General features: G+C 56.1%; 1 protein-coding gene across 6 annotated transcripts, besides 3 other annotated features; it reads left to right on the top strand.

Moving 5' to 3' along the window:
- HAGH (hydroxyacylglutathione hydrolase) lies at positions 8 to 19,573 on the top strand. Of its 6 annotated transcripts, none has more exons than NM_001040427.2 (10): positions 8 to 490; positions 600 to 695; positions 4,165 to 4,337; positions 4,838 to 4,902; positions 7,188 to 7,305; positions 7,979 to 8,087; positions 9,931 to 10,034; positions 10,208 to 10,309; positions 17,369 to 17,448; positions 17,820 to 18,104. In NM_001040427.2, exons 3-10 carry the CDS (start codon positions 4,233 to 4,235, stop codon positions 17,917 to 17,919), a joined length of 783 nt encoding a protein of 260 aa, NP_001035517.1. In that variant the 5' UTR covers positions 8 to 490; positions 600 to 695; positions 4,165 to 4,232; the 3' UTR covers positions 17,920 to 18,104. The 6 variants fall into 6 exon arrangements, with proteins under 6 accessions (NP_001035517.1, NP_001350843.1, NP_001350841.1 ...); NM_001363914.1 differs by having other exon boundaries at positions 17,756 to 18,104; NM_001363912.1 differs by lacking the exon at positions 600 to 695 and having other exon boundaries at positions 17,756 to 18,104.
- Positions 57 to 1,026: a silencer, noted in NCBI's record as "silent region_7009". NCBI's record gives its function as "represses an Ori minimal core promoter by ATAC-STARR-seq in GM12878 lymphoblastoid cells {active_cell/tissue: GM12878}" and the evidence as "EXISTENCE:reporter gene assay evidence [ECO:0000049][PMID:35858748]".
- Positions 3,231 to 3,300: an enhancer, noted in NCBI's record as "active region_10239". NCBI's record gives its function as "activates an Ori minimal core promoter by ATAC-STARR-seq in GM12878 lymphoblastoid cells {active_cell/tissue: GM12878}" and the evidence as "EXISTENCE:reporter gene assay evidence [ECO:0000049][PMID:35858748]".
- Positions 17,618 to 17,780: a silencer, noted in NCBI's record as "fragment chr16:1859423-1859585 (GRCh37/hg19 assembly coordinates)". NCBI's record gives its function as "represses an EF-1alpha promoter that drives an FKBP-Casp9 reporter gene in an ReSE screen in K562 erythroleukemia cells {active_cell/tissue: K562}" and the evidence as "EXISTENCE:reporter gene assay evidence [ECO:0000049][PMID:32094911]".

Raw genomic sequence — 21,268 nt, 5'->3', positions numbered from 1 at the left:
GCCGGTCAGCTGATGCCTACGGCATCCCGGAGAGGACCAACTGCCTCGGAACGCTGTCCCCCGCAGCGACGGCCCGTTCCACCTCGCGATCTGCCGGGTACCCGGGCGGCGTGGCGCTCGGCCTCCAGGGATCCACTGTGCGGTGCCAAAAAAGAGGCGGAGGCTCGCGGCACAGCTCTCCCGGCGCAGCTCTCGGGCCGCCGCCGCCGCTCCCAGGCCCGTCTCCCGGCCCGTGGCAGTCGGGGCTCGCGGACAAAACAAGTTGAGCGCGAGCGCGTTGATTGGTTGGCGGACGGTGCGAGGTGGACGCTGATTGGCTGAGGGCAGCGCGAGGCGGGCGCTGATTGGCTGCGACGCGCCGACGCCGGTGTTTTGCAGTCCTGGGCAGCTCGGCAGTCCAGCCCGGCCCGGGTCATGGTGGTGGGCCGAGGGCTGCTCGGCCGCCGCAGCCTCGCCGCGCTGGGAGCCGCCTGCGCCCGCCGAGGCCTCGGTGGGTGCGGCGGGGCGGTGCGGGCCGGGGGACGCGGGCCTGGCGGGGCGGGCAGCGGGCGGCGCCGGGCCGTCGTTTGGCGACCGCTGACGCGGTGTCTGTTGCGCAGGTGCCTAAGGCCGCGCTGCCGGGCTCGAGCGGAGGCGGCGCAGGCGCTGAGGCTGGCGCGGAGCGGGCGCGGGGCCGCGGGTGCGGAAAGCGCTAGGTAAGCAGGGCCAGGCCTGCGTCCGCCGCGGCCTCCACGCTCGGGCTGGGCCGGCCGCGCCCCTGACGCCTCCAGGGCATCGCGTCCTGCCCGGGCCGGCGCCGAGGAGAGCCTGGGGCGCGGCTCTGAGGCGCAGCGGGCAGGGCCCCGGGACGCCTGGCCCACCCCGCACCTGCTGCCCCGCTGCAAGGACCGCGGTCTCGCGGCGCCGCCTGCGGTGGTGGAGCTGCCCGCCCGGCGCCGGAGCCCCCGTCTGGGGACCCGGCGTGTCATTCGCCCGAGGTGGTCGCGCGGCCGGGCCAGGCCAGCGCCCCGGGCGGGTGCGCAGCGCAGGGCACTGGGCGGGCGGAGGCGCAGACAGGGAGGCGTCCCTGGCGGTTTCCAGATCTCGCCGAAAGCTGTCAAGGCTCTGCAGGGGGTAGAATGTCGCCATTGCTAAGGAAAGGACATGGATTTTGAGGTCCTCAGAATTACAGTTTTAGGGACATTCATAAGGGTCCAGGCAGAGAGTTCCAGCGGGACTGTGTGCATCGGCAGGGCGTGCGTACCCCATTCTAAGGGAGGCCCCAGCCCCCGTATTTGGTGCCGCCCAGTTCAAGGGAAGCAAGATGCTGTGAAACTTCCTGATTTAAAAAAGAAGTGCAGTGACGCACGCCTGTCATCCCAGCACTTTGGGAGGCCGAGGCGGGAGGATCGCTTGAGTCCAGGAGTTCCAGACCAGCCTGGCAACATGTTGAGACCTCATCGCTACAAAAACTAAACAAAATCAGCCGGGCGTGGTGGCACACAACTGTAGTCTCAGTCACTTTGGAGGCTGAGGTGGGAGGATCGCTTGAGTCCAGGAGGTCGAGGCTGCAGTGACCCTTGATCGCACCACTGCACTGTAGCCTAGGGGACAGAGTGAGACCATATCTCAATTTTTTTTTGTTTTTGGGGCCAAACCGAACATGTTTCTGGACTTGGTCCAGGCCCCAGGCTGCAGGTCCTTGACCTGTTTGTACAAAGTATTACAGTTACAAAACAGCAAGCCGGGAACATTTGCCAGGCAGTGCTGGGCTGAGTGATATGGAAAGGGAATACGGTTTCTGCTGGTGTTGGCACCAGCTGCGTCTTTCCTCAGAAATAAAGGCACCTCCCTGGGTTGTCAGCTTCTTCAGGAGGCTGTGATGGTCTCCAGGGGAGGCTGAGCACCAGTTGTAAATGACATTTTCTTCGCCTGGGCAGTGCAGTGGCCAATCTCGGCTCACTGCAACCTCTGCCTCCCGGGCTCAAGCGAGTCTCCTGCCTCAGCCTCCTGAGTAGCTGGGACTACAGGCGCTCGCCACCACGCCCAGCTAATTTTTGTATTTTTTAGTAGAGACAGGGTTTCACCATATTGGTCAGGCTGGTCTCGAACTCCTGACCCCGCGATCCGCCCGCCTCGGCCTCCCAAAGTGCTGGGATGACAGGCGTGAGCCACCGCACGTGGGCAGTATTTTTGTTTGTAATGTTCTGCTCCTTGTTTGTAATGGAGCTCCTTTCCAGGAGGACGCCCGGCACTCGGAATCCTGTCACAACCCTTCTGCACCCCACCTGCAGCCCCCAGCACCCACACTCTGCTTGTTGTGCTCCTTGGGCTGGGGTGGTGCTGAGGCTAAGGGGAAGGGGAATAACACAGGAAGCTGCTCATATAGAAATCTTGGTATTATTGTTCCTGAGGAGAATGATCTGGAAAATGCCCAGCTGGTTGTCAGGCGGGTAATAGGATATCTTTGTGCAGTGATTGAAACTATAGTTTGGGCAGTTTCCCCGGCTGTGGAAATAAGGTCGGATTCCGCATTTCGGTGGGCCCTGGAGACGCGTGTGTCTGTCAGTTGGTGGCTGCTGCCCATTTCTGGATCCCTTTTGGGAGAAGCCCCTGCCGTGGCACCTACCCCAGGACTGCACTGTCCTCTGCCACCTTCTGTGGTTTCTTCCCCGTGTAGAGCGGAACTGAAGGTATTGTCGGGGCCCCCAGGTATTTTTAGATTTAGTAGGAGTTTCATTGCTGAAAATATTTTTGCATTGGTCGACTGGGTGGCAGACACTTTTGTCCCTTGGTCACCCACTCCTCCCAGCTCTTGGGCCTTCTGGGCCCCTGTGGCAGAGTCCTTTGGGTCAGTTGGATGGTGGTTTTGTGTCCTCCACACTTGAATCTGGGGGCAGTTGTGGCCAACTTTCCGTCTCAAAGGAACTGCTGATTTTTGTGCATATCTCAGATTCGTGCTGTTCAAGAGCAAGTATTGTTTGTTTGTTTTTTTTTTTTTTTGAGACTGTCTCACTCTGTTGCCCAGGCTGGAGTGCAGTAGGGCGATCTTGGCTCACTGAAACTTTCACCTCCCGGATTCAAGCAATTCTCCTGCCTCAGCCTGCCGTCAAGTATTGGTTCTTTCTGGCTAGAGGCTGAGAAGGGCTGTAACTGCATGGAACGCAGGCTCGCTTAGTCAGTGGTGGCAGCACAGCTTGCTGGAGGGCAGATGGCCAGGCGGGGGCACCCCTAGTCTGTGTTCCCTTCTTCACATTCTGTCCCTGAGTCCGGGGTGTGAATAATCCAGCACTGGCAGTGGTTCGCCTCACAATCACAAGCTGGCCTTCCTGTCCTTTTAGAGTTCTCAAAAAAGAAAATAGAGATCGTAAGTCTGAAACAATTGATTTCCATGAATGTGAGCATGAGTTAGTTCCTGTGTTCTCCTCAGGGATATATGAAGATATTCCTTTTTTTTTTTTTTTTTTTTTTTTTTTTTAAGGAACAGGTTATTGTCTTGTCACCCAGGCTGGAGTGCAGTGGCACAGTCATAGCTCACTGCAGCCTCAAACTCCTGGGCTCAAGTGATCCTCCTGCCTCAGCCTCCGGAGTAGCTGGGACCACAGGCATGCACCACCATGCCTGGCTAATTTTTAAATTTGCAAAGACAAGGTCTTGGCTGGTCGCGGTGGCTCACACCTGTCATCCCAGCACTTTGGGAGGCCGAGGTGGGCGGATCACAAGGTCAGGAGATCGAGACCATCCTGGCTAACACCATGAAACCCGTCTCTACTAAAAAATACAAAAAATTAGCCGGGTATGGTGGCGGGCGTCTGTAGTCCCAGCTACTCAGGAGGCTGAGACAGGAGAACGGCGTGAACCTGGGAGGCGGAGCTTGCAGTGAGCCGAGATCGCGCCACTGCACTCCAGCCTGGGCGACAGAGCGAGACTCCGTCTCAAAAAAAAAAGAAAAAAAAAAAGACAAGGTCTTGCTATGTTGCCCAGGCTGGTCTCAAACTCCTGCCCTCAAGCAGTCCTCCCATCTCAGTCTCTTAAAGCGCTGGGATTCCCGGCAAGAACCACCATACCTGGCCAGAATATTCCTTTTCAAAGGAACCTAGAAAGGCTGGGAAGCACTGCAGCTTGCGCGTCCTGTCGTGGAGGGCCTGGCGCGGCTGCCCGCTGAGTTGTGCTCTGTGTCTGCAGGTCCAGCCCTGCTGGGAGTTTTCTGCCACACAGATTTGCGGAAGAACCTGACCGTGGACGAGGGCACCATGAAGGTAGAGGTGCTGCCTGCCCTGACCGACAACTACATGTACCTGGTCATTGATGATGAGACCAAGGAGGCTGCCATTGTGGATCCGGTGCAGCCCCAGAAGGTGCGCATGGCTGTGCCTGGCTCTCCCTGCCCTGGTCACCCAGCTCGGAGTCCTCACCCCCGATGGGTTTCCTAACCGCAGTGTCCTTGCAACTTTGCCTAAGCTAAATGGAAATTAGTCTCCGGCCACTCTGTTAACAGGGCTCCAAGAAGGGTGGAGGCGAGAGGCAGTGACACAGAAAGCGCTGTGCAGTACAATCCTGGGCACTTGAGTCTTCTTGGGGGCTTTCTGCCCCTGCATGCTGCCTCTGGGGGTGGTGCCCTCAGAGCTGGAGGGGCTTGGAGCGGTCGTAGGTGGTTGCAAGAGTGTCAGGCTGAGCAGGAAGGAGAAGGTGCTTTCACTGGCTCTCCTGGAGCAGGGCAAGCTGGCAGGGTCAGGACGGGCCATGTCAGCGGCCCCTCATGGCGTGTCCTGGGTTCTGCTGGGCACCCTACCATATAGGCCAGCAAGCCAGGCCTAGGAGTGTGACAGGCCTTTGTCCTTCCCCGGGGCCACTGCAGGTCGTGGACGCGGCGAGAAAGCACGGGGTGAAACTGACCACAGTGCTCACCACCCACCACCACTGGTAAGTGCCGCGTCTCACCTGGGGGTGTGGGACCTGGCTCACTTCTCGCCCCGGTGGGTTTAGGGACATCAAGGCCTGTCTCCCCCCACGGCTCTGTCTGCTTTGTGAGGACAAGCCCCCAGCAGACTTCTGAGAAAGACCCGGGACTCACCGTAGCCCCCAAGGGGCAAGTCTGGTGCTCAGTGACTCTGAGGCCCCGAGGGTGAGGGGAGAAGGTTACAGCCTTACCCTCAGGCCCCACCCCCCGGCTCTCTCCTGGGCCATGCGGGTTTGTGCCCTGGCACGTTGGCCTCAATGTTGGGGAGGAAATGAGTCTACAGGTGAGTGGTTTTTAAAAAAAAAAAAAACAAAAAAACAAAAAAAAACAAGCAGCCAGCCGGGCACGGTGGCTCATGCCTATAATCCCAGCACTTTGGGAGGCTGAGGTAGTTGGGTCACTTGAGGTCAGGACCAGCCTGGCCAACACGGTGAAACCCAGTCTCTACCGAAAATACAAAAATTAACTGGGCGTGGTGGTGGGCGCCTGTAATCTCAGCTACTCGGGAGGCTGAAGCAGGAGAATCACTTGAACCCGGGAGGCGGAGGTTGCCGTGAGCCAAGATCGTGGCATTGCACTCCAGCCTGGGTGACAGAGCGAGACTCCGTCTCAAAAAAAACAAAGACAAGCAGCCATATCTGGAGAGGTTGGGTTTTTAAAAATCCTTGAAAATGGATGAATAAAATGCCCTGTCTGGGTTCTAGGGCTGGCATTGCCTGCTCAAGGCCGTTGTTTGGCTTTTAGAAATTTTTGAGGCTCTTCAAAGCTAGAGAGACTTACTTCTTTTTGCCAAGCAAGCGCCCGAGGGCAACCGGCACCTTTCTCCTGAGCCAGGACCCGTCTGGCACTGCCCTAGGGCCTCTCAGCTGTGGCTTCCCCAGCCTCTGTGTTGGGGTGAAATGAAGCCTTTGGTCCTCTCCTTGGTGGTGGGAGCGCTGTGCTGGTGGCTTGGCCAAGGTTTGATGGAAGCGTCATGGTTCACACGCAGCTGGACTTAGGCCTGGAGAGTCTCAGGCTCTGTGAGTTGGGCCCCTCGAGCCTCTTCGGGGTCATCAGAGGTGTCCGTGCAGGGACCTGGGCTTGAGGGGCGGTGCCTGCAGCCTCCCTGGCCCTTGTCCTGTGTGGCTGAGCTGCTGTCTCTCAGCACGTTGGCCTGCCTGTCGTGCGAGGCCCTTGCTGCCACCATGCCTCCTCCTGGGGACCCTGGTGGTGGCCTCTGTGTGGCTGCCTGGCACATCACAGCTTGCTGCAGCTCCCTGCCTCTCCCGGCCTCGCCGCAGACGTCTCTTTCTAACACTGTGGTGCTTTTTAGTTCCCCGGCCCCTCTAACATTCATGCCGACACGTGAAGTCCTAAGCCAGGCCATAGCTTCAGCGGGGTGGGGTTTGCTCACCGATGGTGGGTGGTGATGGGCAGACCAAGGCCTGTGGTGCCGCGCCCTCCTGAAGGGTGGGAGGGGCAGAGGGCAGCGGCCACCACTCCACCCTGTTATCTTGGGGCCCAGTGGTGCCAAGGCAGGCGGTTTCTGGTGTGGTTGCTGGAGTCTTCATGGGAGGCACACGAAGGAGTCTGTGATATCATGTGAGACCCGGGAAGGGCCCCTTCAACCGCCCCTTTCTGAACTGCGGGTCAGGCAGGCTCCCCTGGGGAAACCTGGGCGCGTAGGAGGCACCTCCACCTGCTGGAGCTGGCCCAGGCTGGCCTCCCCTGCAGACAGGCCGCGTCTAGGGCCAGCTGCTCATCCCAGACGCACCCAGGTGATTCCCATGCTGAACAGTTTGATCTCCTGCCAGAGTGTCGGGCCACAAACTGGGCAGCACATCAGGATCACCTGGGGGCCTTCAAAAATCAAAAATCCACCCCCAGGCCATGCCCTGGACCCACTGCACCAGGACAAGAAATCCACCCCAGGCCTCTCCCCAGACCCACTGCACCAGGACAAGAAATCCACCCCCAGGCCACGCCCCAGACCCACTGCCCTAGGATGTGGGGGTGGGAACCAGGTGGTGCTTTGTAAAGACGTGCAGGTGGTAACCCCAGGCCCCCACGCTCGGAACCCTGGCCACAGGATCATCCAGGTGTCTGTGATTTGCTTCCTCGGTTTCCTTTGTGAGTGGAAAATAAGTGTTGCGTTTGACTAGGGTTTAAGAGCAGCAGGCAGCCCCTCAGCTCAGCAGGCAGCCCCCTCAGCTCAGCAGGCAGCCCCCTCAGCTCAGCAGGCAGCCCAGGTCTCCTGTTTGACTTCTAGGGACCATGCTGGCGGGAATGAGAAACTGGTCAAGCTGGAGTCGGGACTGAAGGTGTACGGGGGTGACGACCGTATCGGGGCCCTGACTCACAAGATCACTCACCTGTCCACACTGCAGGTAAGGAGTGAGCCCTGGAGGTGCTCCAGCGTGGCCCTGTCAGGAGCGTGGGGGAGGGGGGTCCCTCCCCGCATTCTCTCTGCTCCCTTACCCCAGTGACCCGGGAGTGCTCTCAGTGGTCCTCTGTGGCAGCGTGGATGGTCTTCTCTGTCTAGGCACAAGGAGAGGAGTGTGCAAAACGCGGCTGTGTGCGGGGCTGTGAAGCAGGGCTCTGAGACCCTGGGGAGCGGGCCATGTGGGCAGGGTCTTGGTGCCAGAGCACAGCACACAGGTGGGAGGGCCCTGCGAGGGTGTCTTCAGCCTTTTTGAGGGTGTGAACATTTTTGAAGTAAAGAATTGGGGCAGATGGGGACAGGAAAACAAAAGGCCATGTGTGGGAAGGAAAGCCGTCTTTCCTAGCCAGACGGCGAGCGTGGATTTGGCCCAGTTTTGAAGGAGGAAACAAGCCCCTTGGTTTTTTACACGCTCTTGTTCCAGGGTGGCCCTGCACTTGGGGCGCACCCATGGAGTGAGCGAGTCCCCCAGTCCCGTGGTGGGGAGCACCTGCCCCACCTTCACGGGCATTTCCCTCAGAGCTGAGGAGGCCCAGTAGGGCCCAGGCGGCGCGCCGTGACCCCGGGAGATGGCTCTCCAGGGTGTCTGGGAGCACACGCGGTCGCCTGCTTTGTTGAAGGTGGGGTCTCTGAACGTCAAGTGCCTGGCGACCCCGTGCCACACTTCAGGACACATTTGTTACTTCGTGAGCAAGCCCGGAGGCTCGGAGCCCCCTGCCGTGTTCACAGGTGCGTGTTCGAGTGTGGGTGGGGGCGGGGGTTCTTCGTGAAGACCCTGTGTCTCCTGCCAGGCAGGCTCACGGGGCAGCTTCGTGGCCTTCTCTGTTGCACCGGTGTGAGGGGGCCCAGGGGTGGGTGCTGGGGAGCCTCATGGTGGGGCTGGCCGATTCCTCCCATGATGGGTTTGGATCGTGGTCTGGAAGGAAGTTACGCTTGCAGCAAGGGCTGTGCTGGCGGAGACTGCTGGACAGCTGGGGTCCGGGCGGGTCCCACGGGAAAGGAGTCAGTTTCTTCCAGCAGGGCGAGGGGTGGCTCAGCCCTGGGGCTGTGTTCCTTGATGCCGTAGTGTGGACTCAGGGACCTGTGCTAGTCTGGGGGCCCTGCCTGCCTCCCAGGGTGGTTGCAGACCTGTGGAGCCACCTGTGGAGGTCATATGGCCGGGGGACGGCCTCACTGTAGGCCGGGCCCTTCATGGCTGCGGCCTTCTAAGGCGGTGCGGAGGCTGCTGGTGGTGGGGGCTGCCTCCCGTGCTTGTTACTGTGGCCTTGTCCCGACTGGCCTCACAGTGCGGGGTTTCACCCGGTGACTCGATGTGGGCCTTGTACGGCTGGGAGGCCTCCTGGTGGGAGGTGGCAGCCCCAGCCTTGAACCCAGGTGGGAGTGACCCAGGGCCACACTCGGACCCCTGGGTGGAGTCAAACCAGGGGTGCAGGGAGAAGGTGTGGCCAGGGAGCCCCAGAGGAGGGCGGAGGGCATGGCGGGAGGGACGGGCGCCTCGCTGTGAGGGATAAGGTGCCTTCAGGCTGCAGTGCGCAGGGCTGGGGGATGAGCCTGGGTGGTGCCGGTGTGGGAGGGATGGAGTTGGGGACCTCAGATTTAGGATTCTTCTCAGGGCAGCGAGCACGGAGTCCCTGGGTCTCACCTGTGCCTCCTGGGCTGTGTGCCTGGCGCAAGGACAGCCCTGTGGAGCAGAAGCCCCAGGCCCCAAGTTCGCCTCTGTCTGCCCTTCCCTATCTCTGGGGACTCCATGGCCTCCTGCTGGTCCTCAGACTCGAGGTCTAGGGCCCTTCAGGGGAACAGGCTCCCCACCGTCCATTCCCATCTCTCGTGCCCAGAAGGACTCCTGGCCTTGGCCTGTGCCCAGCACCGCTGCATGCTTCTCTGCCCCAGGTGGTGAGAAGTGGGGCGGCCTCCACTGTGCTGGGTGCTGGGCACCCTCCTCTCAGGGGACTGCCCTGTTTCTGGGGCAGACGGCCACGTGAGGTCAGCGAGGCCAGGACAGCCGCGAAGCAGCAAGAGGAGGGCAAGCGGGGACAGAGGCCTGGGCAGTGATGGGGTGGGGATGCCGTCCTGAGGCCGAGGCCGGAAGGAGCCTGGGTGCGCCTGAGGTGCCCAGCGGTGTGGGCCGCATCTTCCGCCATGGGTGAGAGGTGGTCCCGCTCAGCTCAGCCAGGGTGGTGAGACCTTGGTCACAGGGTGGCGCTGGCTGCTGGGGCCAAGGGAAGATGGGAGCCAGGCATGGGCCTGAGAGGGGCTGCTGCGTGTTTGGGGAGAGGGCTGGATTTGTGAGGGTCTCAGAGCCACAGTTGGTGGGATTGGGGGCAGTGAGGGAGGAGTGACTTGGGTTTCGGGTCTGCTCGGCCAGTTGGGTGGTTGGACTGTCAGCTGAGACTTGGAAGGAGATGTGGGAGCCGGAATGCAGGGGGGCTGAGTCTGGGCAGCCGTGGCCGGAGGGCAGCCAGGGTTCGGGGCCTGGGCCTTGCCGGTGAGTGTCACCCTGCTCCTGGCCCCCTCCTGAGTCCTAGCCACCAGCCTCAAGTGGCCCCCACCTCGTGGCTGTCCTTGTTTCCAGGTGACACCTTGTTTGTGGCTGGCTGCGGGAAGTTCTATGAAGGGACTGCGGATGAGATGTGTAAAGCTCTGCTGGAGGTCTTGGGCCGGCTCCCCCCGGACACAGTAGGCAGCGCCTCCCTGCGGGCCGGGGTGTGGGGGGCCTTAACCAGGGCGGGGCTGCTCTCCCTCCTGGCACCCTCTCACCGGACACCCCCCGGGGGCATCCAGGTCCCGTCCCTGAGGACTTTCACAGGTGGTAACAGCCTTCCGAGCTCACCTGTCACCTCTCTCCTCAGAGAGTCTACTGTGGCCACGAGTACACCATCAACAACCTCAAGTTTGCACGCCACGTGGAGCCCGGCAATGCCGCCATCCGGGAGAAGCTGGCCTGGGCCAAGGTGAGTGGGGCCGTCACTGCGCAGTGCCTTCCTGTGGGCTGCTCAGGGCCGCTGTGCACAGCGGGGTCGCCAGAGTGGGTAGACACTCACACTCTGAGCCCAGAGAGCAGGCCTGGGATTCAGGCCAGTGTGGCCCAGCTCGCCCTGCACGGCAAACCCAGGGGTTCTATGGAGATCCCTCTGCCTCGGAGGGTCTGGAGTAGGCCTCAGACGCTGCGTGTGTAAAAAGCGCCCAGCCTGTTCCCACATTCTGAGCAGTAGGGTCAGGCTGGCAGCACGTGGCTCTGCTGGCTCTCCAGGCCACAGAACGTGGCTCTGTGTCCAAAGGACTCTTATCTCCACGGTGGCCCCACGTGAGCCTCCATGGCGTAGCCCAGGCCAGCTGGGCCAAAGTCTGCCAGGAGCAGGACGGGGTTCTCCAGGGGTGTGTTTCCCCGAATTCACTGGAAACGGTGTCACAAGCACGCACGCCTGGGTGGTCTCAGGCGTGGGCTCCCTCTGCTGAGTGGAGTGAGAGTCGCTGCCTCTGACAGGGTTGTTTTAAATAAATCACCCGGTTTTTTGAGCATCTTTTTCAATTTCTTAGAGTAGAGGTTAACATTATTTTACAGTATTTACTCATGCAAATTCCAACTCTAAATCAGATGAATCATAAATACTCATCTTTTTTTTTTTTTTAATTTTTTTTTGAGACGGAGTCTCCCTCTGTCGCCCAGGCTGGAGTACAGTGGCGTAATCTCGGCTCACTGCAACCAGCACCTCCCGGGTTCAAGAAATTCTCCCTGCTGGCCGGGCGTGGTGGCTCACGCTTGTAATCCCAACTACTCAGGAGGCTGAGGCAGGAGAATCGCTTGAACCCAGGAGGCAGAGGTTGCAGTGAGCCAAGATCGCTCCACTGCGCTCCAGCCTGGTGACAGAGCGAGACTCCGTCTCAAAAAAAAAAAAAAAAAAAAAAAAAAATTCTCCCTGCCTCAGCCTCTTGAGTAGCTGGGATTACAGGCGCCAGCCAACACGCCCAGCTAATTTTTCTACTTTTAGTAGAGATAGGGTTTTGCCATGTTGGCCAGGCTCGTCTTGAACTCCTGACTTCAGGTAATCCGCCTGCCTTGGCCTCCCAAAGTGCTGAGATTACAGGCGTGAGCCACGTCACCTGGCCCGTGTGTCTGTCTTGAGTGGACAGATTGCAGTTTGAGGAATGTTGATGATGTTTGCACTTGTGTAATCCCCTCCACAGTCCAGATGTGGAACTTACCACTACCCCAAAGGCTCCTGTGTCCCTCCCATGTGGCGTCCCCGCCAGCTGTTGCTCTGCTGTGACCTCAGGTCACTTTCTAGTTTCCCATGAACAGAATCTCATTGCTCCGTCATCTCTGTGGCATTCTCGGCCCCGCTGATGTTGGTGAGGGTCAGCCACGCTCTTTGCTTCTGAGTAGCCCATTGTGTGGAAATGCTACAATTTGTTTATGCATTTGTCTGTTTCCAGTTTTTTGCTATTTGAATAAAGCTGCTATGGACATTTGTGTACAAGTCTTTTGTGAACATGTTTTTATTGCTCTTGGATACTACCTAAGAGTGGAATTGCTGTGTTGTGTGGTTAAAGGTGTGAACCGTTTTCCAAAAATGGTTGTACTGTTCTACAGTCCCCCACCAATGCTTGAGTTCCGGGGCCTCCATGCTGTGCCAGCACTGCTTGGTGTTGTCGGTCTCTCCAATTTTTGCCATTCTAACTTGCCTGTGGTGGCGTCTCACTGCCTTTAAAATGTGGATTTCCCCATGTGACCATCTTTTCATGTGTGTCGGCCTTTGGATGCCTTCTCATGAAGTTTATGTTCAATCTTTTGTCCATTTTAAATATTGGGTTTGGCCTGTTGGGCTGCTCTTGTAAGAGTTCCTTATATCATCTGGAAACAAGTCTTTGTGAGATATATATATATATGTGTGTGTGTGTGTGTGTGTGTGTGTATATACATATATATATTTATTTGTTTGTTTTTTGAGACAAAGTCTTGCTCTGTCGCCCAGGCTGGAGTGCAGTGGTGTGATCTCATCTCACTGCAAGCTCTGCCTCCCGGGTTCAAGCCATTCTCCTGCCTCAGCCTCCCAAGTAGCTGGGACTACAGGTGCCCGTCACCACGCCCAGCTAATTTTTTGTATTTTTAGTAGAGATGGGTTTCACCGTGTTATCCAGGAAGGTCTCGATCTCCTGACCTCGTGATCCACCCGCCTCGGCCTCCCAAAGTGCTGGGATTACAGGCGTGACCCACCACGCCCAGCTGAGATATATATTTAAAAGATGTTTTTCTCTCCCAGCTCATGGCTTGCCTTTTCATTTTCTTAACATTGTCTTTTGGAAAATAGTTTATAGTTTTGGTGAAGTTCCATTTACTTATTTTTTGTTTGTTTCTTTTTTTTTTTTTTGAGACGGAGTTTCACTCTTGTTGCCCAGGCTGGAGTGCAGCGGCGCGATCTCAGCTCACCGCAACATCCACCTCCTGGGTTTAAGCGATTCTCCTGCCTCAGCCTCCCGAGTAGCTGGGATTACAGGCATGCACCACCACACCCGGTTAATTTTGTATTTTTAGTAGAGATGGGGTTTCTCCATGTTGATCAGGCTGGACTCGAACTCCTGACCTCAGGTGATCTGCCCACCTTGGGCTCCAAAAGTGCTGGGATTACAGATGTGAGCCACTGCGCCCGGCCTACTCAATTTTTCTTTTATGTTTCTTGTGCCCTTTCTAAGATATCTTTGCATACCCTTAGCTCACAAAGACTTTCTCCTGTGTTTCTTCCTAGAAGTTTTAAAGTCTTAGCTTTTATATTTACAAACAATTTACAGTGTTCCCTTTCAAGATGGTGTTTGTGTGTGGTGCGAGGTGAGGGTAGAGGTTCACCCTCTCGCAGTGTGATCCCGAGGTGTTCAGGGCTGTCTGTCGAAGGACTGTCCTTTCCTCCCTGGATTGCCTTGGCACCTTTCTGAAAAGAATGGGCCCTCTATGCCCGAGTCTGCTTCTGGTCTCTGCTCTGTTTCGTTGGTCTCTATGACTTGCCACGGTGTCCGAGGACAGCACCTTGATGACTGTAACTCTGTGCTGAGTCTTGGCACTGGTATGTGTGAATCCTCCAGTGTTCTTTTTCAAAATGGTTTTAGTTGTTTTAAGCCTTTTACATTTCCGTTTTCAGAATCATCTCGTGAACTTCTATCAGAAAAGCTAGCCTGGCTGCTGATTGGGACTGTTGTGATAACTGATGTGGCGAGAATTGCGATCTTAACATTGAGTGTTTCTGTGAGCTTTCCATCTATGAATGTCTTTAGCTTTTCTCAGCAGTGTTTTGAAATTTGCGTGTTCAAGGTCTTGCACGTGTTACTAAATGGATCCCTAAGCACTTCTGGTCATGATTATTTGTTGATACTAGTTATAAATACAGTGGATGCGTATTAACTTCCTGGGTGTCTTAGTCTGTGTGGTGTTGCTATAAAGGAATACTTGAGGCCGGGTGACTTATAAAAGGAGGTTTATGTGGCTCATGGTTATGCAGGCTATATAAGCAGCATGGCCTGGGCGTCTGCACCTGGTGAGGCCTCAGGCTGCTTCTGCTCATGGCAGAAGGCGAAAGGAGCTGGTGGGTGTGAAGCATGTGGCCAGAGGAAGGAGAGAGTGGGGGAGGCAAAAGTTTCTTTTAAACAACCAGATCCTGTGGGAACTAACAGCAAAAACTCGCACTTGGAGCAGGGCACCAAGCCGTTCACAAAGGATTCCCCCCATGATCCAAACACCTCCATTAATTGGGGATCAGATTTGAGCATGCGTTTGGAGGGATGGACATCCCAGCCGCAGCCCCGTGTGAACACCCAGGAGAAGGGAGTGGCCGGGCTGGACGGGAGGTGTGTTTGACTTTTAAAGAAACTGCCAAACTCCCCTTCCCCGGTGCTTGTGGTGTTTGCTTTCCTGCTGGGAAGGCGTGGGCACACCAGCTGGTCCGTGTCTTTCGGCACACCACACGGTGGAGCCAGCCCACGCGGTGGAGCCAGCCGTTTGAAAGGAGGTGCTGGAGCCCAGTCCCTGGTGAGAGGCCGCCTCCTGCAGGGCGCCTCCCATTCTGCGGCCTCTGGTTTTCTTAGCAGTATCTTTTGAGCCAACATTTTTAATTTTAATGAAGTCCAATAGATTCTTTTATGCTTCATTCTTTTTTGTCTCCCATCTAAGAAATCTTTGTTTATCCCAAGGTCAAAAAATTTTCTCCTGTATTTTATTTTTGGAATTTGTATAGTTTTAAAACTTAGTATGAACTCCCACCCCCCAAATGTCTGCTGGATCTGTAATGATATTCCTGCTTTCATTCCTGATTTTGACAATTTGTGTGTTTTTTTTTTGTTTTTTTTTTTTTTTGAGACAGCGTTTCGCTCTTGCCGCCCAGGCTGGAGTGCAATGGCGCGATCTCGGCTCACCGCAACCCCTGCCTCCCGGGTTCAAGCGATTCTCATGCCTCAGCCTCCCAAGTAGCTGGGACTACAGGCATGTGCCACCATGCCTGGGTAATTTTTATATTTTTAGTAGAGATGGGGTTTTACCATGTTGGCCAGGCTGATCTCAAACTCCTGACTTCGTGATCTGCCCGCCTCAGCCTCCCAAAGTGCTGGGATTACAGGCGTGAGCCACTGTGCCTGGCCTGTCATTCTTTTTTTTTTTTTTTTTGGTTGGGGAGAGACAGCGTCTTGCTCTGCTGCCCAGGCTGGAGTGCAGTGGCACAATCTCGGCTCACTGCAACCTCCGCCTCCTGGGTTCAGGCGATTCTGCTGCCTCAGTCTCCCGTACCTGGGACTACAGGCCTGTGCCATCATGCTTGGTTAATTTTTGTATTTTTGGTAGAGAGGGGGTTTACACGATGTTGCCTAGGCTGGTCTTGAACTTCTGGGCTCAAGTGATCCTCCTGCCTTGGCCTCCCAAAGTGCTGGGATTACAGGCATGTGCCAACCACACCCGGCCTCATTCTTTTTGATAGGTGTAAAATATACTATTGCGTGGGTGTCACCCATAAATCATTTTACCAATCCCCATAGGAGGGACGTTGAGAGTTTTCAACTCCTTTTGCACCCTGGAGTCCAGAACCCACACGAGGTGGAGCTCTTCTGAGCTGTGCTGCAAGGACTGACCTTATTTTTTTATTTTTATTTTTTTGAGGCAGAGTCTCACTCTGTCACCCAAGCTGGAGTGCAGTGGTGCGATCTCGGCTCACTACTGCAGCCTCCGCCTCCCGGGTTCAAGCGATTCTCCTGCCTCAGCCTCCCAAGTAGCTGGAATTACAGACATGTGCCACCACGTCTGGCTAATTTTTGTATTTTTAGTAGAGACGGGGTTTCACCATGTTGGCCAGGCCGGTCTCAAACTCCTGACCTCAGGTGATCCACCTGCCTCAGCCTCCCCCAGTGCTGGGATTACAGGTGTGAGCAACCGCGCCCGGCCTGTTGTTCTTTCTTTGGGAGACAGTGTCTTGCTCTGCTGCCCAGGCTGGAGTGCAGTGGCATGGTCTTGGCTCGCTGCAGCCTCCACCTCCTGGGTTCAAGTGATTCTCCTGCCTCAGCTTCTCCAGTAGCTGGGATTACAGGCACCCGCCACCACACCCGGCTGATTTTTTCTATTTTAGTAGAGATGGGGTTTCACCGTGTTGCCCAGGCTGGTCTCGAACTCCTGAGTTCAGGCAATCCACCCACCTCGGCCTCCCAAAGTGTTAGGATTACAGGCGTGAGCCACTGCGCTCGGCTGACTGACCTTATTTTTGTCTTTAAATGCTTCGTACTTTGTAGGAAAAATAGCTAGAACATTAAAACTCGTTTTAATAGGTAACCTAAAAGCTTATGACAATTTGTACTTCCTCTGTTTTAAAGGTCTCCTTAGAAGTGTTAACTTTGCTTCCCTCGTAGGAGGCAGAGGGAGATTTCTTAGGATTGAGAATGTTGGTGGGAACACAGGGAATATTTTAAAACATTCTCAGATTCTTTTCGCCAGAAGGGAAGAACAGATTAGTGAGAAACCATCTTGGCATCTACCAGACCCCCGCTTGGTGCAGCTCTACCAGCTGAAGAGTCACTCACCGACACCACTGCCCATAGCGGGTGGGGAACCTCGGGGGTGAGGCGCGGTGGTCTTGAGCCTGTGCGTGGGCACCAGCAGCTTCTGTCAGAGCTCTGCCCTGAGGCCCTCCTGGTGCGGCTGCGGTAGAAGGGCCGGGGCTGTGTGGAGACCCCGCTGTTGCCGCCCTGTGTTTTCCTGCTAACTGTTGGCCCCGTGGCTGGGTTTGCATTCTCCTCCCCCCGCCCCCACCCCATCTGCCCTGGTCAGTGCTGGTCGGAAGGGAGACCATCTCCATCTCGAGAGGAGGTGACCAGCTGCCTGCCTGCAGGGGCTTGGGTGGCCTCCCCTGCTGCTGGTCCCTGTGCCCCTCCTCCCCGTGCTTGCTGTGAGGCTGCAGCTGTGGCGGTTTCTTTTCTGTGTCTCCTGCATTGCTGTTACCTCCATAATGTGAAATGTAAACCATGTGAATGAAAAGGAAGCTCCGTCCCTGTCGTCCTCTCCAGGCCGGTGCGGGAAGGCGGATGTGTGGCTCATCCCGGACGCTGGCTTCTCTTCCCTCTTCCACACGCGCACACCCGCCGGGCTCTGCTCACCTTGCCTTCTCAGCCTTGTCAGTCGGGCAGTGTCCTAAGGTTACCAGGAGGTGTTCTGAAGCATTTTTTGAGACGTGATGTCGCTGTCACCCAGGCTGGAGGGCAGTAGCACAGTCTTGGCTCACTGTAGCCTCGACCTGTGCTCAAGCGATCCTCCCACCTCAGCCCCCTGAGTAGCTGGGACCACAGGTGCCTGCCACCATGCCTGGCTAGTTTTTTGTATTTTTAGTAGACACAGGGTCTCGCCATGTTGTCCAGGCTGGTCTCAAACTCCAGGGCTCAAGTGATCCATCTGCCTTAGCCTCCCAAAGTGCTGGTATCACAGACGTGAGCCTCCGTGCCTGGTCTGCCATCCTGTGAAGTTCCCGTGATAAAGTGGTGCGTTTCTCTTGCAGGAGAAGTACAGCATCGGGGAGCCCACAGTGCCATCCACCCTGGCAGAGGAGTTTACCTACAACCCCTTCATGAGAGTGAGGTGAGGCCCAGGGCAGGTGGTGGGCGCGGGCCCCTCCCCTCTGGCAGTCCCACTGCTGCACACACAGCCGGTACGTCCGAGACCCCAGATGGCTGAGGCTGCCTTGGGGAGCTGTCACAGGTGCAGCCGCAGAGCCCGAGCACTCTTCTTGAGGGGGGTCCGGCCTTTCCTGGCACCTTGGCCGGGGTGTGAGTCCTTCTGGACCCTGGAGTTCAGAACCTGTCAGAAGGGGAGTGGCTGCCGCCTCCCCGCCCTCCGTGTCCTCTGAGGGCTGGGCTCGGCCAGCACGAGTCGCCTTCCTCTGCAGTGGCCCTGGCTCCTCCGGTGGGCGTGGCTCGGCACAGCCTGCAGCCCGGTGCTGGCCTCCGCAGGGAGAAGACGGTGCAGCAGCACGCAGGTGAGACGGACCCGGTGACCACCATGCGGGCCGTGCGCAGGGAGAAGGACCAGTTCAAGATGCCCCGGGACTGAGGCCGCCCTGCACCTTCAGCGGATTTGGGGATTAGGCTCTTTTAGGTAACTGGCTTTCCTGCTGGTCCGTGCGGGAAATTCAGTCTTGATTTAACCTTAATTTTACAGCCCTTGGCTTGTGTTATCGGACATTCTAATGCATATTTATAAGAGAAGTTTAACAAGTATTTATTCCCATAACTTCCCCTTGCAGACTGTTTTCTTCTGGCCTTTAGGCCTCTGCTTGTCCCCTCGGGCCTCCTTCCTCCTCCGTGAGCCACTGCAGTCCCCCCACCCACGCTTCAGGTCAGGCGTGAGCCGGTGCCTTTGCTGTGGCCTTGGCTGGGTGCTGATGGGACTGTCAGGCCCACTGCTGCGGTCGGTACCTTTGCAGCCTGTGCTTGTGGTCTGATCTGCTCAGGCCCCCGGCAGGGAGAGGTGGCCGCGTCTTCTTCCTGGAGGCGGCCAGATCGCGCGACCTCCAGGCAGTGCTCCTACTCGGCAGCACCCACCTGCCTCTGCTTGAGAAAGCACAAACCGCCCTCTGGGGAAGCAGCCAGCTGGGGAGTGCTCTCGGCCTGTGACCCCGGGAGGGCTGGGTAGGTGGCCACATGTCCTGCCCCGGCTCTGGGTGTGGCTGGTGGCAGAGGGTCTATGAGGGAAGGGCAGGACAAAGGCAACCCCTAAGGCTAATCTGAAATTTAGGGCTGGGCGTGGTGGCTAAGCCTGTGATCCCAGCACTTTGGGAGGCCGAGGCGGGTGGATCACGAGGTCAGGAGATCGAGTCCATCCTGGCTAACATGGTGAAACCCCGTCTCTACTAAAAATACAAAAAATTAGCCAGGTGTGGTGGCAGACACCTGTAGTCCCGGCTACTCGGGAGGCTAAGGCAGGAGAATGGTGTGAACCCAGGAGGCGGGGCTTGCAGTGAGCCGAGATAGCGCCACTGCACTCCAGCCTGGGAGACAGAGCAAGACTCTGTCTCAAAAAAAAAAAAATATGAAATTTAATAATAATCTTTTTAAAAAGTTACCTGGGCAGGGTGGTGTGCAGCTGTAGTCCTAGCTACTCAGGAGGCTGAGGCAGGAGGATCGCTTGAGCCCGGGAGTCCAAGGCTGCAGTGAGCATTGCTTGTGCCACTGCATTCTGGCTTGGGGAACAGGGAGACCCTGTCTCAAAGAAATTAATTAATCATGCAGTTGAGTGGTATTTAGTCCATTCACAATGCTGCAGCCGCCTCTCGCGTGTTCTGAAACATTTGACCTATTCACTGACTGACTGACTGCTCTGTCAGTGAGCTGTGAGGGGAGGTGACTCTGTGTGGGGCCCACACCCTCTGCCACCTGGTCCTATAGACAGACTCTTCTGAGTGGAGGGGCAGAGCGGCCCTGGGACCTAGGAGCAAGCCTGGCCCGAGGCTTGTGGATTGAAGAGGAAGGCTGGCACTGCACTTCAGACCACATGCATGCCCTCCCCCCGGAGGGGTCACTGGTCTGTTCGCATACTCGCAGACCCCTCTGGGATGCCACGGAAGCCAGGCGTGTGTGAGGAGGCAGGGCAGACTGCTTCTCCGGCTTTCTTCTCCCACTACCCCCGCCCCAGCGCAAAGAGTTTGTTCTATTGTTCAGCAAATATTCTTAGGCCAGAATCTTAAATGTTTCCATTCTATAACAAACACTGTGCTCATTTGTCAACCAATAAGTAATTTTAACAGCCCTCTTTGGATGCAACAAATGCCTGAACATCTGATCTTTTATTTTCTTGAGACAGGATCTCGCTCTGTTGCCCAGGCTGGGGTGCCGTGGTGCAATCTCGGCTCACTGCAGCCTCTGCCTCCTGGGCTCAAGTGATTCTCTTGCCTCAGCCGCCTGAGTAGCTGGGATTACAGGTGTGCACCACCATGCCCGGCTACATTTTTGTATTTTTAGTAGAGATGGGGTTTCGCCACGTTGGCCAGGCTGGTCTTGAACTCCTGACCTCAGGTGATCCACCCACCTCTGCCTCCCAAAGTGCTGGGATTACAGGTGGAAGGCACTGCACCTGGCCTTGATGTCTGATCTGAATGGTAGGGGTGGTGGGGCAGGCAGTAGTTGTGGGAGTTGACAGTGCTTAGAGGGAAATTTATAGCTTTAACCACCTATGTAATAAAAGGGGGTCTCAAATAAAAAATGTTGGGCAGGGTACGGTGGCTCATGCCTGTAATCCCAGCACTTTGAGAGGCTGAGGCAGGCGGATCATGAGGTCAGGAGATCGATACCATCCTGGCTAACATGGTGAAACCCTGTCTCTATTAAAAATACAAAAAATTAGCCAGGCGTAAACTTGGGAGGTGGAGCTTGCAGTAAACCGAGATCATGCCACTGCACTCCAGCCTGGGCAACGAACAAGACTGTTGTCTCAAAAAAAAAAATGTCTTCAACCAGGTGCAGTGGCTCATACCTGTAATCGCAGCACTTTGGGAGGCCGAGCTGGACAAATCACATGAGGTCAGGAGTTTGAGACCAGCCTGGTCAACATGGAGAAACCTGATCTCTACTAAAAATACAAAAATTAGCTGGGCGTGGTGGCATGTGCCTGTAGTCCCAGCTACTCTGGAAGCTGAGGCACGAGAATCGCTTGAACATGGGAAGCAGAGGTTGCAGTGAGCCAAGATCATGCCATTGCACTCCAGCCTGAGTGACAGAGTGAGACTTTGTCTCAAAAAAGAAAAAAAGTACAATTCTACCTTAAATTAGAAAGAAGAACAAATGAAACCTAAAGAAAGATTAGAGAGGAAATTAGTAAACTAGAAAGCAGAAAAACCAAAAGTTGGTTCCTTGAAAAGATCAACAAAATTGGCAAACTCTTAGCTAGACTGACTACCAAAAGCATGAAAGAGGGGACATCACTACCAATCCTACAGAAATGAACAGGACTTGGCCGGGCAGAGTGGCTCACGCCTGTAATCCCAGCACTTTGGAAGGCTGAGGCAGGTGGATCACGAGATCAGGAGATCCAGACTCATCCTGGCTAACATGGTGAAACCCCGTCTCTACTAAAACTACAAAAAATTAGCCGGGCATGGTGGTGGGCGCCTGTAGTCCCAGCTACTAGAGAGGCTGAGGCAGGAGAATGGCATGAACCTGGGAGGTGGAGCTTGCAGTGAGCTGAGATCGCACCACTGCACTCCAGCCGGGGCAAAAGAGCAAGACTCCGTCTCAAAAAAAGAAAAAAAAGAAAGAAAAAGAAATGAACAGGACTTGGAATACTAGGAAAACTCTGTACCAACAAATTAGGTGAAACTGACAAACTCCTAGAGGGACACAAATCACTTAAATTGGCTCAGAAATCTGAGAAATTTAATAGAAAATCTAAATAGACCTATAACAAG

This window comes from Homo sapiens, chromosome 16 (genome assembly GCF_000001405.40).
Source record: "Homo sapiens chromosome 16, GRCh38.p14 Primary Assembly".
Lineage (NCBI taxonomy): Eukaryota > Metazoa > Chordata > Mammalia > Primates > Hominidae > Homo > Homo sapiens.
This window is presented reverse-complemented; position numbering and strand designations above follow the sequence as displayed.

Coding starts and splice junctions, on each gene's coding strand:
- HAGH (NM_005326.6), top strand. CDS start 415: ATGGTGGTGGGCCGAGGGCTGCTCGGCCGCCGCAGCCTCGCCGCGCTG. Junction 10,035..10,207: donor GCCGGCTCCCCCCGGACACA/GTAGGCAGCGCC, acceptor CTCTCTCCTCAG/AGAGTCTACTGTGGCCACGA. Junction 17,449..17,819: donor AACCCCTTCATGAGAGTGAG/GTGAGGCCCAGG, acceptor TGGCCTCCGCAG/GGAGAAGACGGTGCAGCAGC.